The sequence below is a fragment of the Homo sapiens genome, chromosome 7, assembly GCF_000001405.40.
Source record: "Homo sapiens chromosome 7, GRCh38.p14 Primary Assembly".
Classification (NCBI taxonomy): domain Eukaryota; kingdom Metazoa; phylum Chordata; class Mammalia; order Primates; family Hominidae; genus Homo; species Homo sapiens.
This window is the reverse complement of record NC_000007.14, coordinates 88,158,274-88,174,569: the sequence shown is the minus strand read 5'-3', so window position 1 is coordinate 88,174,569 and position 16,296 is coordinate 88,158,274. Positions and strand designations below refer to the sequence as shown.

General features: G+C 34.7%; 1 protein-coding gene across 32 annotated transcripts in view; it reads right to left on the bottom strand.

The window, feature by feature from the left end:
* ADAM22 (ADAM metallopeptidase domain 22) overlaps positions 1 to 16,296 on the bottom strand; it is a 268,639-nt gene that overhangs the window by 28,320 nt on the left and 224,023 nt on the right. For 31 of the 32 annotated variants that reach the window (XM_017012330.3, NM_001391975.1, XM_017012335.3 and 28 more), the window contains 4 exons: positions 11,390 to 11,558; positions 8,624 to 8,738; positions 6,343 to 6,433; positions 3,009 to 3,026 (listed from right to left, as the gene is read on the bottom strand). In XM_017012330.3, coding sequence (XP_016867819.1) covers positions 3,009 to 3,026; positions 6,343 to 6,433; positions 8,624 to 8,738; positions 11,390 to 11,558 — 393 coding nt within the window. The remainder of the gene's footprint in view (positions 1 to 3,008; positions 3,027 to 6,342; positions 6,434 to 8,623; positions 8,739 to 11,389; positions 11,559 to 16,296) is intronic. The other variant, NM_001391981.1, reaches the window with a different exon arrangement.

Below are 16,296 nucleotides of genomic sequence, written 5' to 3'. Positions count from 1 at the left end.
ATTACAAGTCATATAGCTTCTAAGACCTAAAGCAATTGTGCTATAATATAAACAATAATATCAACTGAAAAAATTGGGGAAGTTTTCCTTCCTGAATATTTTAAATGAAAGGATAAATATAACCATCATTCTAATTACCTAATGTCTAAGGCTATGGCTCCTTTGTTCCACAATTCTGCCCATTATAAGACACTGGCAGATTTAAAGTGATGCTGCACATATGTGGAGTTCTGCCTTCACTATGACCCAGAATGGAGCTTCCGGTTTCTTTCTATTACAAAGTTTGTGAACAAAAAGAAAAAAAACGTGGGTCTGCTTCACATCTGTTTGTCAAACTTGCAAGAAAACATAGAATATAATCCTTCTCTATACTGAAAACCTTGAGGACTCATTCTCAGAAGAGAAAATTTATCTGGTTATCAAATTCACTCACAGAACTACTTGCCTGTCCTCTCCAGGAATTGGAAAGTTATGCCCATTTTGGTACTTCTGAGCCATTACAACAGTATTAAGAATCTGATAACAGGCTATTATACTTATTAGGTCTTGCATTTAGTGTCAAAGCAAAAGTTTACATTCACCGACATTTCCACCACCTCAACCAGTATGTGTGAGCCTCACTCATGTCAATGAATGCTGCCTTCCTCTTTGAGAACAACTGCATTCACCTCTTTCATTCAAAGATCAGAGAAATACAGTCTTCCAAGACCACATGCTAATAACTTCCCGTCACCATAATGCTTTACAGATTACAAAGAACCTTACTTGATTTCAGAGTTGAGGAAAGTTTGATTTTCCAATACCACATACTAGTAGATTTCTGATTCCTTGTGGACTGGTCTCCCTACCATGGAACCTCAAAGAAAAACCTCATTTAAAATCAATAACAACTCAAAATCCTTAATTTTACTTCCTGGTATATTTTGGAATTGGGAAGATCTTTACTTGAATGTCTATAGATATTTTTATAAGATTGAATATTTTTTAATGCATGCTTTGGTCTGTTGGCCTTACCACTTTGTCTATAATCACTAACATATATTCTCAAAAAGGAAACTCATTTAGAAAACACTTATACATTCACAACTTCCTGATCTAAAGTCTATTCTTTGCCATTTCTCCACTTTGAGACCTACTGTACAAACCTAATATTCATTAGTTATGGGCAAGGACAAAAAAAAGGTTGTGTTGACATATATCAAAATATATAAAATAAATATCCACTGAAGATGTGACAACTCTCAAAATATGATGGACTAGATTCCAAAAGAGTAGCCAGATCAATGAAATGATGACTCAGTAACACCAGGAGACATGAAATTATATCAGGCACATAAAGGAGATTCTTCATGTGAAAATGTTCTTAACGATATCTCTCTACATATTGAGTTAGAACAAGAAATTTGTGCATACTTTTCAATATTAATCATTTTTTTAAAGTGTGGGCAATTCCCTTATTCTGGATAGAATCCCTAATGAGAACACATCTTAGAGCACTGTGCTAGCTTTGCTTATGTTGCCTATGAGACATTTCACTTTCATTTTCATATATTCAGCAATATTAAATTACATTATAGCCTTAGTTCCTGTGGAAATGAAGCTGAATCATTAACTTTTTAATCTTATTTGCCTAATTCTATTTTCCACTAAAGAAACTCACCAAACTTAGATTTCTAATACGATCAATCAACCTCTACCCAACAGAAAGTCTAAACGGCGGCTCCTGCTCTAAGCAAGCGCTTTTGGACACAAGAGTTTAAAACACATCATGAAGAAATCTGGTTGTTCTTAAATTGTAATTTTGTCCCAGTTTTACTTTTTCCATTAATGATGAGTTAGTCACTCTAGGGAAAGGTCAATATTTTCTGTTGTCTACACAAACTGACCAGGATTTCAAATGGTAACCCATGGGCACTATATATTTATACAGATTCTACAGATACCTATGGTTAAAGCCTTATGGGAATTTTAATTTATTTAAAAAAGAGTAAAGTTTAAATTTTTGATTTGTGAAAAAAATGAAAGTTGTGATGGAGCATGACAAATTACCACATTTATACACCTTATTCATAACCTGTCACAAGCATGCAACTCAACAATGGAAAAGGTTAAGTAAATAGGAATCTGCATAAATACCATGAGTATAGAACTAAATACCATTATCATGTGTAAGACCTGGTCTAGGTTATCAGTTTCCAGGATAATATTTTAATATTTTTTATCAATAGCTAACAGCACTAGTAACTTTTTAAGTGGGAAAAGTGAAGAGTGCATTCCAATATTATGTGCTAATTTAGATTCAGATAAAATAGGCAATTGTTATAGAACAACATGAACATTTTGTATCTCTTTTAAGCTGTTGGTTAAACATAGATTTTTACGGTTATGCTATACAGGGTGTCTGACTTTCTCAAGAATATAGGCATTTTTATTATTCCAACTATGCAAATTCTTTCTTTAAATGTGCAGTTACCTAATCAATACAAAAAATTCCTTATGCAGAGATAAACAGGCTCACGAAATGCTAGAACATTCCCAACAGCAACACTGCCCAAATAAACTTTGTCACTTATGAATGGATATTATTAATATAAAAACAGTAATAAATAAATTCCCTCAGAAAGTATTAGGCAATAAGAGTGTTACAAACATGAAGAAAAGCTAATATTAATGTAAACAAATGGGACACCTTAACATAGAGGAAGTTTGTTTTAGATGGAAAAAATCAATTTCTATATATATTACTATTAAAAAATAAGCAAGACTCCACTAATTGTAGTATCGTTGGATAAAAGATCCATTAAAATTAAATGACAGATCTATTTTAAATTGCTATATTTCACAGCACCATCATTAAAATTACCTCAAGATAATGAAAAATCGATTAGTGTATGATTATTATACATAAAAACAAAGTGAACTTAATTATAATTGCATGTATGAATTCCAACAATGCTAATATGAGTCAAACCTTTCAGTTTTATGTTCACATTATTTGTATTACATACCTCTGTTCTCGATAGTTTCTTTTCATGGACAAGAAGAGAAAGAGGGAAAAACATAAGAGTTAGTTACCTCTGGAAGGACATCAAGAGGGAGCTCTAAACATAAAAGCTCTAGCTTTCATTGAAAAGTCTTCACTAGAGGATTCTGAATTACAGAATTAAAATGGGAATGCACACACAAAAATGTCACCTCATCATCAGGAGAAGCAACAAAGAGTCAGTGACAATATTGTCAAACAATTGTCCACTTTTAAAAACATAAATATGCTGCAGTCATTAAAGAGTAATTGTTTTCTCAACATCAATCACTGCTCTAAAGTAAATCTTATTTCAAACACAGGTCTTCAAACATACATTGACTTAATGAAATTAATGAATCAAGTTACTTATATAAATAACTTTTTACAGAAATAAAATTATAATTCATTCCTAATGGAATATAAACCCCAAACTATAGTTATTCCTAAGAATTTCAAATAGGGGAATATAAATGAATACCAGAACATTTTATTTCATCAGGTATGATAAATAGGAGTGAGTCAATTCGTGACTGTTAAGGATCTCCTAAGTGATTACTACTTACTCGCTGAAGCTTCACATTGGAAATACTTGTTCAATGTTTAGTCTCTGTGTTTATTTAACCATAAGCTAAAATCGACTTAAATGAGTTTCCAACTAAGTGGATCTTATTAAAAAATTGCTCTACAGGGTGTGGTAGTACAGTACCAGTGACTTTTCAAGAGTTCACTGCTAACTTTCTATCTTGACATAATTAAGTGTTAATATTTTGGAGACACGTTAGAAAGGTCATGCAAGTGAGTAGTTTTGGGCTGCTTCCTCTAAGATCAAGGATAATGTTTTCATATGGATTTCATTGGTAACATCTTTACTTGCCAGTCTATTTCATCCACATTATACATATCACGTTTGATAACGGGCACATGACGGCAAAGGTGCCAATTTGTTATTATTTTTCATCCTGGAAACTATCAGATGGGGGAAAAATAAGCCTGGTATTTTTCTATTCAACATGTTTTGCTTTTTATTCCTTCAATCTGATTTCCTGAGCCATACGGTTCCAAATGAGCATTCTACTTTATTTTTTTTTTTAATTCCTGCTATTCTCCACCCCAAGGCTTGGAGAAGGGGTAGAAAGTTTAACTGGACAAACTAATGAGAAAATGAGTTCTCAGGTTCTAAATGGGGTTTTAAATTGCAAATAGAATAAGTAAAACATCATATTCATGAATTTAATTCCTCTATTAAAATATCTACATTCCCACTATATTCCTAAACATATTCTGAATAATTTTAGAAACATTAAAACTTTAGCTATTTGGGCTAGTTATTTATAAAGAAGATACTGTAGTATGCACAAGGTGTGTCTTTTTCCTTAAGCTAAAATCAACTTAAATGAGTTTCCAGCTAAGTGGATCTTATTAAAGTTGCAAAGTGTATATATTGAGGAATGAACAGATCTCAAAAGAATGCCATAAAAATAAGAAGTCACCTGCAGAAAAAAAGTGATTTTCATTCTAATCAATAAAGGCAAATAGACACATAATTTAATAAGTAATATGAGCGTTTAGGTTTCTAAAAGGTAGGTTTTTCCAAGATTGTAAAAATGAAATATCCACTTCCATCACTAGGTGGCAGAAAATCACACACTCCAGAAGGAACAATTTTTTCTTTCCATTTTCACACAGCCAAATGAAACAACTGAGCTACTTCAACACAATAATGCTTGTGATGACAATTACTACTTAAATCATGCATTAATTTGGAGAAATGGTGTGATTCCAACACAGAGCTAATTTGCTTCTGGTGTGAGGAGAAATCAAATGACAAAAAGAGAAGCCTTCCTATCAGATATATGATTTGATAACTCCAAATGTTATGCTGAGGTGAAATACACCCAGTAACCTGCACACCAAAGAGGCCCATAGGTTTTAAGCATCTGCTATGAACTTATTATTATCACCTAACATGGTCTTAAGCCAACTGCGCCAAAGGTAACACTTTTGTAAGTATATATGGCAATTGCTTGTGAGGTCAAAATTATGAAAGAGTTTATTTAGCTGAAAAGGGAGAGCAATTAGTTTACTGCCAGGATAAGTTTTGTATGCTACAAGCATTAATGATACAAGAATTTGTGGAAGACTACATGGTACAGGGCTAGATGCTCATTTAATCAGGGAAAAGCTTACTACTGTGCTGTACTCTCCTTCACTATGACATGCCATGTCAAACTGTAATGTTTTGCCAAACTGTAATATGCTCTCTGCGCTACTCATTAATATATAGTCTTCCACAAATGCCTGTATTATTAATGCTTGCAGCATACAAAGCTTATCCTGCCAGTAAACTAACTGCTCTCCCTTTTTAGCCAAAGAAACTCTTTGATGGTTTTGACCTCACAAGCAATTACCATGTACACTATAAAGATGTTTCCTTTGGTGCAATTGGTTTAAGACCATGTTAAGTGATAATAATAGCAAACAATTACATAGTGCTTACTGTGGGCCAGGTACTACTTTGAGTGTTTGACATATATTAACTTATGGAACAAAGGCAAGTCCATTAAAAGGCATGGGGTAAATGTCTAAAATTTTGATTCTAATTCCCAAAACTTTGAGTTACCTAAGTTTGATCCATGAGGAAAAATGTGCTATGAAATGAGGTAATGCCCAGAATGCCTAGCACAAGCTGCAGGCCTTCCAAATGGAGAAAAACCCCAGGCCTGTGGACTGGAACATCATCATCAAGGATCAGCAGAATATGATTTTAAGTTGAAATATTAAAGAAAATTTAAGGTTTACTATATTTACATTTTAACTTATTAAACTTAAATTAGTTATTTGAATACAAAGAAATTTTTCACATCATAAGATTAAAGCACTTAAAAAGGAAATTGAATACTCTGGTTTCTTTTCAGATTATATAAATCATGAAAAGAAAATTGAACACATTAGATAGATAAATAAGTTTACAATGTTTGAAGGCCTTTACTGAGCAAAATGTTTAAGGTTATTAAATTCTCTTCAAAAGTTACAACTTACCAGTTTTTACAAATTTAGACTGGTTTCAATTCACTTCAAGGATTTTTAAATAATACTCAGTTCTTTTACAATAGAAGGAAGTTGTCTCAAAATCTAAAAAATGATGTTATTATCACTTCTCGCCATGCCAAGAATAAGCATTGACTGGCTGCTGAGCCAAGCTGATTTTCATTGCAAGTATATTCAACCAATGATACAAAACTTTCTAGATGTTTTCATGTAATCAAAATGTTTAGAAGTATATTTCAATAGTAACAAGACTGAGACATTTCACTTACTTATAACCCCACGCAGTTATTCCTAATATGAGGGCCAGCACTAAAATGGTGCCAGCAATTATGCCTATTATGATATTGGTGCCAGCAACACCTGAGAGGAAAAAAAAGAAAGAAGGAAGATCAGTGGTATAAAATCCTTTCAGAAACTTTATTGTTCAGTTTTGTAATCATCACACTAACAACACTGTTTGTTTTCAAAAATGAGTATTTTTCAAAGGAAAGAAAAAATCAACCATAATTCAGCAATCCATATCAGTTGTTTTAAAAATAATTTTTGGCAAATGTCCTTTTTAATTCTTGTCCAAGTGCATTTTGCACAGTTGTATTTTCCAGAAACCATGATGTCATTAAACTAAAAGAGGGAAGAGTAATGAAACTTAGGGAGGAACTTGTAGAAAATCTGTGTTCCTTTTGATCCTTACCTCTTTCTCAGAAATTCTAGAAATGTTATTGTGCATATCACTCCATTTTGACAACTAACGCAAGGTCCTTACTGCTCTCGGTTTTGTGTGTGTTATATTTTGTCTCTCTCAAAGTGAATACAAGCTTCTTAAGGGAGAAAACATGTCCACAGACTTCTGTGATTACTGCCCAGGTGATGTAGGTGATAGAAACACTGGGCTTGTAATTCCCCGTCTGGGCAATGATGGCTGTGGCATTCTAGAGAAGGAAACCCCAGAGGAAAAAGAGTTGAGTGAGCTGGAGGATTGGAGCTGATGTGGCAGGAGAGGCAGCACCACACTGGCAGAGAGACAGGCAGGCAGAATCCAGGGCGGGATTGAAGCTCAGAACACAGTGATGGCATTGTTGTGCCAGTATCCATTGTCAGGCAGGCTGAGATATAATCTTTAAGGGGATCATCACAGCAGAATGGCACCATGAGTCAAAGGCTTGGTCAATAAGCTCAAATGAGGGCTCAAAGGCAGAAAAGGCTGATCTGAATGAGGCCTGGCTCTGACACCAGAAGGCCTGTTTTGCTGATAATGATTTGTGCCACATGGTTAACTGCAGAGCTTTCATCCAGAGTAGCTTAGATCCATCTTTGCCTGCTCCACTCCTGAGGCATCCTTTTATACATCAGAGGTCAGGAGTCATGGGCTACTTGAGAAGATTTCAATTCTCCATGATAGTAGTGGCAGTCTCTCTGTCTGGGAGCCCTCAGAATTCATGTCAGACAGCAGGGCTAGGTCATCTGAGCAGACTAGTGGACTCCAACCTGCCAGGTCCTCTGTGGGATGCACAGATGCAAATGCCAGAGGATTCCTTGGGTCACTAGAATTTTCTTACTTCAAGACCTAGCATGTCTGCCCCCCCTTCCTTTTTTTCCAGGGACTTAACAGGGATCAATAAACTTAGATGTTAGTCTTGTTTATTTCTAAGTAATGGTATGGCTTTTGACACGTCATTTAAATCCATCTATCTAAATATTATTGTCTTTGAATTAATTACTGGAACAAGCTCCACACTACCACTGCTAAGACTAGGGACTCTAAAATCTTAATCATCCTATGATTTTCTTTATAAAAGTCATATTAGCTAAAACTGTTTACCCTTTCTGGACTATTAGAATGAACATATTCCTTTTTTCTCATCCTTTGAAAGTGACTGAACTTTAGGATTTGAGCATTATCTTGTATAAAAGAATACTCAATAATGAAATGATGAAATATTTTAAAGGGGGACATTTGCCTCCAATGTATAAGTTCTTTCAACTGTCTGCATTTGATTTCTATACCCCCATTTGGGCCACCCTAGCTTTTAGGACTGCACCTGTTATTTCTTATCCATGTTCTTAAAGCCCCACCAGGAACCTTGGCCAGGATTACTAACTGTAGCCAGTTCAGGCTACAGAACTGGGGTTGAACAACAATGAGATTCTATAATAAAGAATATTAAAATATTTTAAAACCAATTCTTTAATTGTTTCTTCTTTATTCAGTTCAAAAATATAAAATTATTCCTCTAAATGCACACAATTAAGAGTTATGACTACTTCCACATTTGAAAGAAATGTTAGGGTTAATTGACAGCCTCAGAAAAATCTCAGAATGAAGTAGGACAAGATAAGGCTAAATCAAATAGACTAAGTTATACGTAATATTACATATCATTACAATTTAATGGACATAATCAGTTTCATAAAATGGACCCCAGTTGTATAATTCATTATTATGAGAATGTATTTCTGATTATCATAAAAATAACTCAAATAAAAGTTTTCAGAGAGCAGCTTTCTCTTTGTGTATAAAGACTACATAATGTTACCAAATTAAGTACTTACCATTGCCAGACAGAGTGATACCAGTCTTTGCATCATCATTGTGAGGGAAGTAAGTGTTGCAATCAGAACCTATCCAGTGTCTGTTACACACACACTTCAGCTCATTACTGCAAACCTGAGATCCAAAATCAAGCTAGAGTAAATGTCAACTCTCTGGTACAGAAGCATGAAAAATAAACACTAATTTCTTATTATTATATGCTTAGAATGTGGTAATTCCAAAAAATTATTAGTATGTTCTTCTTAATACTAATTACATTATTTCTCCCTCCAGTACCTCAAGCAAATGTTTCCTAGAGACCAACAACTGACCCAAAGGGAACGATGAATTTTAACAGAGAAATTGATCTACATCTAAAAAAAAAATCAAAGAAATTATTGTTTTGACTTTCACTAACTTAAATTTTATAAGGAAGATTTAAAAAGCTAAGCAGAAATATAATCATCTGTCAATTATCTAATACAAAGGTTTCCTTCCTTCCATAGTAAGGGTCTTCATGCAAAAATGTTATTCATTTTTTAGGAAGCAAAATGAAATAAAAGTCTGATGAAGAGGGGAGACCTGATGTTTTGCAGTGGGCTGAGAAGAAAGTTCCACAAGGCTATACAACCTTAGCACTTCAACCCATGCTGTAGATACTAGCTATGTCAGGGTCAGGGGAACTAAGAACTCCCACGAATTGAGTATAGAAAAAAGATTCATATAAAATTGACACCATTTTTTTTTATATTATAGGAAAATAATCTCTCTTCATTAGTCCACTCAGGAAACAGAATATACACCTAAATCTAATTCAAAACAACCTTGAGTAGAGAAGCAGGAGAGAGTTAAGTTAGGTTGAAGATGAGCAAAGTTCCTCCTGAGACAGGTTTTTACTACAGGGGTTTCTGTCTTGTCTGATCTAATTTTCAGGAACATAACATACATCCACATCTAAATGTAACTATAACACAGCCTCAATCAGAGCTACAGATTAACAAATAGGCAGAACGAAAAAGGTTTAGGCTTAAAATCAAAAGGCCTGGATTTGATTCACCATATCACTCCTGTCTTACTAAGGGACCTTAATCAGGTCGCCTGGCTTCTTCAAGCATCAGTTGCTATATCATATGTCAGGTATCAGCGATATAGTGACAAGAACAGACAATGATGCCCAGTATACAGTAATCATAATAAATAGCATAGCTTACATTTATTGAACACTTGCCATATCCCAGTCTTGTTTTAAGTGTTTTACAAGTTAACTCCTTCTTCGCACAATTCTTTAAAGTGGGCACTATTATTATCTCCATTTTACAGAGGAAGAAATTGAGTCACAAAGGCGAAGAAATTTGCCCAATGTTACCCAGCTAATAAAAAGCAGAGTTGGGATTCAAACCCAGGCTATATGATTGCAAGCCCACACTCCTAACTACATGATATATAGTACAAAAATAATATTTACTTGTATTAATTTTTCTTATATTAATTTTTTGACACAAATATAGAGTTGCTGTAAGTTAAAATTACCCCAAATATAATTATGCATAATTATTGTGAATACATAATTATATTATGCATAATTATTGTAAATTATCTGGATGTTGATTTGCCATCTGATTTATTTGCATTGATTATTCTTTTACTAATTAATTAAACAAATGTTTACCAAGCACAACTATGTTTGGTCTCTTGTGTTTTGTTTCAGAATCTTAAGATGGATAAGACATGCTTATTCATTAGCATGGATGATCAAGAAAAATTCCATTATTCTTTTCCTCTTATCCCCTAACATCCTCTTAGATTAAGAAAAGAAGACTTGGAAGACTCCTTCATAGGAGCAGAGCTACTTAGTACATGTCTGCTCTACTCTTATATGCCATGAGAATTCCTATGCTTTGGCAAGAAGTAACAATTAGTTACTTCCCTAAATAAATTCTTGGAATATCCCTGAGGACAAGCATGGAAAGACCAGGAATGAAGGCTTACAATTCCAAAACAGGGATCCTTTATCTTAACTGGATAATACAACAGTTCAAGCAAAGAATCTGGAACAAAAATAAAAAGAATGCCATAGCACATGCTGAAAGAAATAGAACAAACTCTTTTTTGATGGTATAGGAATTCCTAATTGAAACTGACAAAACTTTATCCCTAGTAGAGGATGAATATTTAACCTGTAAACTTACCTGTACAGGATACACATTATCTGATATATAACTGAAAGAATATATAACTTAAAGAATAGAATTAAAAGTCTTTCAAATGCCGTTTTTTTCTACTCATCTGTAAGAAACATTTCCCTAAGTTATTGTTTTTATTTCTAGGACTTATCCTCAGCTTGTACACGCTGGTGTGGCTACAGCAGTGTGTACAATCTGACAAGTCTGTTGAGATTTGTCAGTGCCCAGACCACATCGTTTTTAAATACTGTGGCCATCACATCCAATTTTTATTCTCTTTCTTAAAATCCCATTATAGTTTGTTAAAATTTATCTCCTAGTTCACTTGTAAAAAGTTGGCATTATATTATATGAGATCATAGTAACACAGAAAAGAAGGATGGGAGAATTTGGTTAGAAAGATTATTCATTTCCTTATCCCCAGGCTTTCTCAGATTATACAACAGAAATATTCAAATAACTATAATTGAATTAGTATTTATATACCAACTAGAAATATGAAAAATCATTTTTTTCCATAATTAAGAAAAATAAATAGTTTAGGGTCCTGTCTATTTCTGTGATATAAAAGAAATAGATTCTGACAAGGTACTGGATACTTACTCCATTTCCTGAGCAAATAGTGCCTTCTTTACTGCTCAAGCAAGTACTAAAGTTGAAAGAAGCCACAGGAAGACACCTGTGTTCTAAGCACATCATTTGGGGACCACAAGGTGTCCCATCTTCCACATAGCCAAGATCTACATCTTCTTCAAGCTTAACATGCCCACCACTAAAAACAAATTGAGAGCAAAAAATGAATCTATTAATTCACCTTCATTTTGAAAATATGCTCAAAAACTTAAAAGCAGGCAATATTGCTTCCTCTATTCTATTTATTACTTATTAAAGACCAGTAGCATAAGCCAGTTCAATCTCAGAGAAAGCTATTGAATCTTTTGATCTAATTCCTTTTGGAGAAATTGATAAAGTTTAGGATTTGAATGTAATTACTATAACTGGGGCCTGAATTGAAACAGGTTTATCATTTCACCTGGGCTACCAAGCAAAAGGTAAGTAAGGCATTATTACTAGTATGTAATTTGATAAGTTGGCTGACCCAAAAAGATTGCATATGTACCAATTACATTTGAGAATGACTAAACTATTGTATATCACTATTCAATATAGCAAACCTGCATATATTATTTAGAAATGTTTTTTAAAACCTCGGTAAGCATTGAAAATATATATTCACAATTTATTCATATGGGGCCATGTCAATGCTACTATAAAAGTCACCATTTTTTAAACTTTTATTTTATGTTCAGGGGTACATGTGCAGGATTGTAATATAGGTAAACTCATGTCATGAGGGTTTGTCGTGCAGAATATTTCATCATCCAGCTACTAAGCCTAGTACTCAATAGTTATTTTTTCTCATCCACTCCCTCCTCCTCATCACATCCCTCAAATAGGTCCCAGTGTCTGTTGCTCCCTTCTTTGTGTCCATGTGTTCTCATCATTTAGCTCCCACTTATAAGTGAGAACATGTGGTATTTGGTTTTCTGTTCCTGTGTTAGTTTACTAAGGATGACGGCCTCCAGCTCCATCCATGTCCCTGTGAAGGACATGATCTTGTTCTTTTTTATGGCTGCATAGTATTCCATGGTGTGTGTGTGTGTGTGTGTGTGTGTGTGTGTGTGTATTACACATTTTCTTTATCCAGTCTGCCACTGATGGGCATTTAGGTTGATTCCATGTCTTTGAGACTGTGAACAGTGCTGCAATGAACATACGTGTGCCTGTGTCTTTATGGTAGAATGATTTATATTCCTTTGGGTTTATACCCAGTAATAGGATTGCTGGGTCGAATAGTATTTGTTTTTAGGTCTTTGAAGAATCGCCACACTGCCTTCCACAATGGTTAAACTAATTTACACTCCCACCAAAGGTGTGTAAATGTTCCCCTTTGTCTGCGACCTTGCCAGCATGTTATTTTTTGACGTTTTAATAATAATCATTCTGACTGGTGTGAGATGGTATCTTATGGTGGTTTTTATTTGAATTTCTCTAATGATCAGTGATATCGATCTTTTTTCACATGCTCTTTGACCAAATGGATGTCTTCTTTTGAAAAGTGTCTGTTCATGTCCTTTGCCCACTTTTTAATGGGGTTGTTTTTTCTTGTAAATTTAAGTTCCTCATAGATGCTGGATATTAGACCTTTGTCAAATGTATAGTTTACAAAAGAATTTTCCCATTCTGTAGGTTGTCTGTTTACTCTGTTGATAGTTACTTTTGCTGTGCAGAAGCACTTTAGTTTAATTAGATTCCATTTGTCAATTTTTGCTTGTTATGATTGCTTCTGGTGTCTTCATAATGAAATCTTTGACTATTCTTATGTCCAAAACAGTATTGCCTAAGTTGTCTTCCAGGGTTTTTATACTTTTGAGTTTTATATTTAAGTCTTCAATCTATCTTGAGTTTATTTTTGTATATGGTGTAAGAAAGGGGTCCAGTTTCAATCTTCTGCATATGGCTAGCCAGTTATCCCAGCACCATTTATTGAATAGGGAGTCCTTTCCCCATTACTTGTTTTTTTTTTTTTCCAAATATGTTGAATTTATTTGAGAATTAGAAATGAAGTGATTTTTTTTGGGTGGGGGGGTTGGTTTTTTATTATTATTATTCTTATACTTTAAGTTCTAGGGTACATGTGCACAACGTGCAGGTTTGTTACATATATATATGCACCATGCTGGTGTGCTGCACCCAGTAACTCGTCATTTACATTAGGTATATCTCCTAATGCTATCTCTCCCCCTTCCCCCTGCCCCATGACAGGCCCCGGTGTGTGATGCTCCCCTTCCTGTGTCCAAGTGTTCTCATTGTTCAATTCCCACCTATGAGTGAGAACACACGGTGTTTGGTTTTTGTCCTTGTGGTAGTTTGCTGAGAATGATGGTTTCCAGCTTCATCCATGTCCCTACAAAGGACATGAACTCATCATTTTTTATGGCTGCATAGTATTCCATGGTGTATATGTGCCACATTTTCTTAATCCAGTCTATCATTGATGGACATTTGGGTTGGTTCCAAGTCTTTGCTGTTGTGAATAGTGCCGCAATAAACATACGTGGGCATGTGTCTTTATAGCAGCATGATTTATAATCCTTTGGGTATATACCCAGTACCCCATTACTTGTTTTTGTCAGCTTCATCGAAGATCAGATGGTTGCAGGTGTGCGACTTTATTTCTGGGCTCTCTATTCTGTTCCATTGGTCTATGTATCTGTTTTTGTACCAGTACCATGCTGTTTTGGTTACTGTAGCCCTGTACTATAGTTTGAAGTTGAGCAACGTGATACCTCCAGCTTTTTAGTTCCCTGTGAATTTTAAGAGCTTTTTCTAGTTCTGTGAAGAATGTCATCGATAGTTTGATAGCAATAGCATTTAATCTGTAAATTGCTTTGGCAGTATGGCCATTTGAATAATATTTATTCTTCTGATTCACAACCACGGAATGTTTTTCCTTTTGTTTGTGGCATCTCTGATTTCTTTGAGCAGTGTTTTGTAATTCCCATTGCAGAGATTTTTTACCTCCCTGACTAGCTGTATTCCTGGGTACTTTATTATTTTTATGGCAATTGTGAATGGAATTGCATTCCTGATTTGACCCTCAGCTTGGCTATTGTTGGTGCATGAGAATGCTAGTGATTTTTGTATGCTGATTTTGTATCCTAAAACTTTGCTGAAGTTGTTTATCAGCTGAAAGAGCTTTTAGGTCGAGACTATGGGGTTTTCTAGATATAGAATCACGTCATCAGCAAAGAGCAATAGTTTGACTTCCTCTCTTCTTATTTGGATTTCCCTTATTTTTCACTCTTGCCTAATTGCTCTGGCCAGGACTTCCAATACTATGTTGAATAGGAGTGGTGAGAGAGGACATCTTTGTCCTGTGTAAGTTTTCAAGGAGAATGCTTCCAGCTTTTGCCTATTCAGTATGATGTTGGCTGTGGGTTTGTCATAGATGGCTCTTATTTTGAGGTATGTTCCTTTAATACGTAGTTTATTGAGAGTTTTTAACATGAAAGGATGTTGGATTTTATCAAAACCCTTTTTTGCATCTATTGAGATAATCATGTGGTTTTTGTCTTTAGTTCTGTTTATGTGAAAAATCACATTTACTAATTTGCGTATGTTGAACCAAACTTGGAACCCGGGAACAAAGCCTACCTGATTATGGTGGATATGATTTTTGATGTGCTACTCAATTTGGTTTGCAAGTATTTTGTTGAGGATTTCTGAATCAATGTTCATCAAGGATAATGGGCTGAAATTTTCTTTTTTTGTAGAGTCTCTGCCATGTTTTTGTATGAGGATGATACTGGCCTCATAGAATGAAATAGGGAGGAGTCACTCCTCCTCAATTTTTTTGAATAGTTTCAGTAGGAATGGTGCCAGCTCTTCTTCGTACATCTGGTAGAATTCAGCTGTGAGTCTGTCTGGTCCTGGCCTTTTTTTTGGTTGGTAGGCTATTTATTACTGGTTCAATTTTGGAGCTTGTTATTGGTCTGTTCAGGAAATCAATTTCTTCCTGATTCAGTCTTGGAAACGTATACACATGTCCAGGCATTTATCCATCTCTTCTAGATTTTCTAGTTTGTGTGCCACAGGTGTTCGTAGTAGTCTCTGATGATTGTTTGTATTTCTGTGGGGTGAGTCGTAACATCCCCTTTGTCGTTTCTGATGTATTAATTTGGATCTTCTCTCTTTTCTTCTTTATTAGTCTATCTAGTGACCTATCTTATTAATTTTTCCAAAAAATAAACTCCTAGATTTGTTGATATTTTACCTGGCTTTTCATGTCTCAGTCTCTTTCAGGTCAGCTCTGATTTTGGTTATTTCTTGTCTTCTGCTAGCTTTGGGGTTGGTTTGTTCTTGCTTCTCTAGTTCTTTTAGTTGTGATGTTAGATTGTTAATTTGAGAGCTTTCTAACTTTTTGATGAGGGCATTTAGGGCTATAAATTGCCCTCTTAACACTGCCTTAGCTGTGTCCCAGAGATTCTTGTATTTTGTATCTTTTTTCTCATTAGTTTCAAAGAACTTCTTGATTTCTGCCTTAATTTCATTATTTACCTAAAAGTCATTTCAGGACCAGGTTGCTTAATTTCCATATAATTGCATGGTTTTGAAAAAAAATTTAAGTCTCGATTTCTATTTGTATTGTGCTGTGGTCCAAGAGTGGGTTTGGTATGATTTTAGTGCTCTAGCTAGCATTTGCTGAGGATTGTTTTATGTCCAATTGTGTGGTCAATTTTAGAGTATGGGCCATGTGATGATTAGAAGAATATATACTGTGTTGTTTTTGGGTGGAGAGTTCTGTAGAGGTCTATCAGATCCATTTGGTCCAATATTGACTTCAGGTCCTGAATATCTTTGTTAATTTTCTGCCTTGATGATCTATCTAATACTATCAGTGAAGTGTTGAAGTCTCCTACTGTTATTGTGAGGGAGTTTAAGTCTCT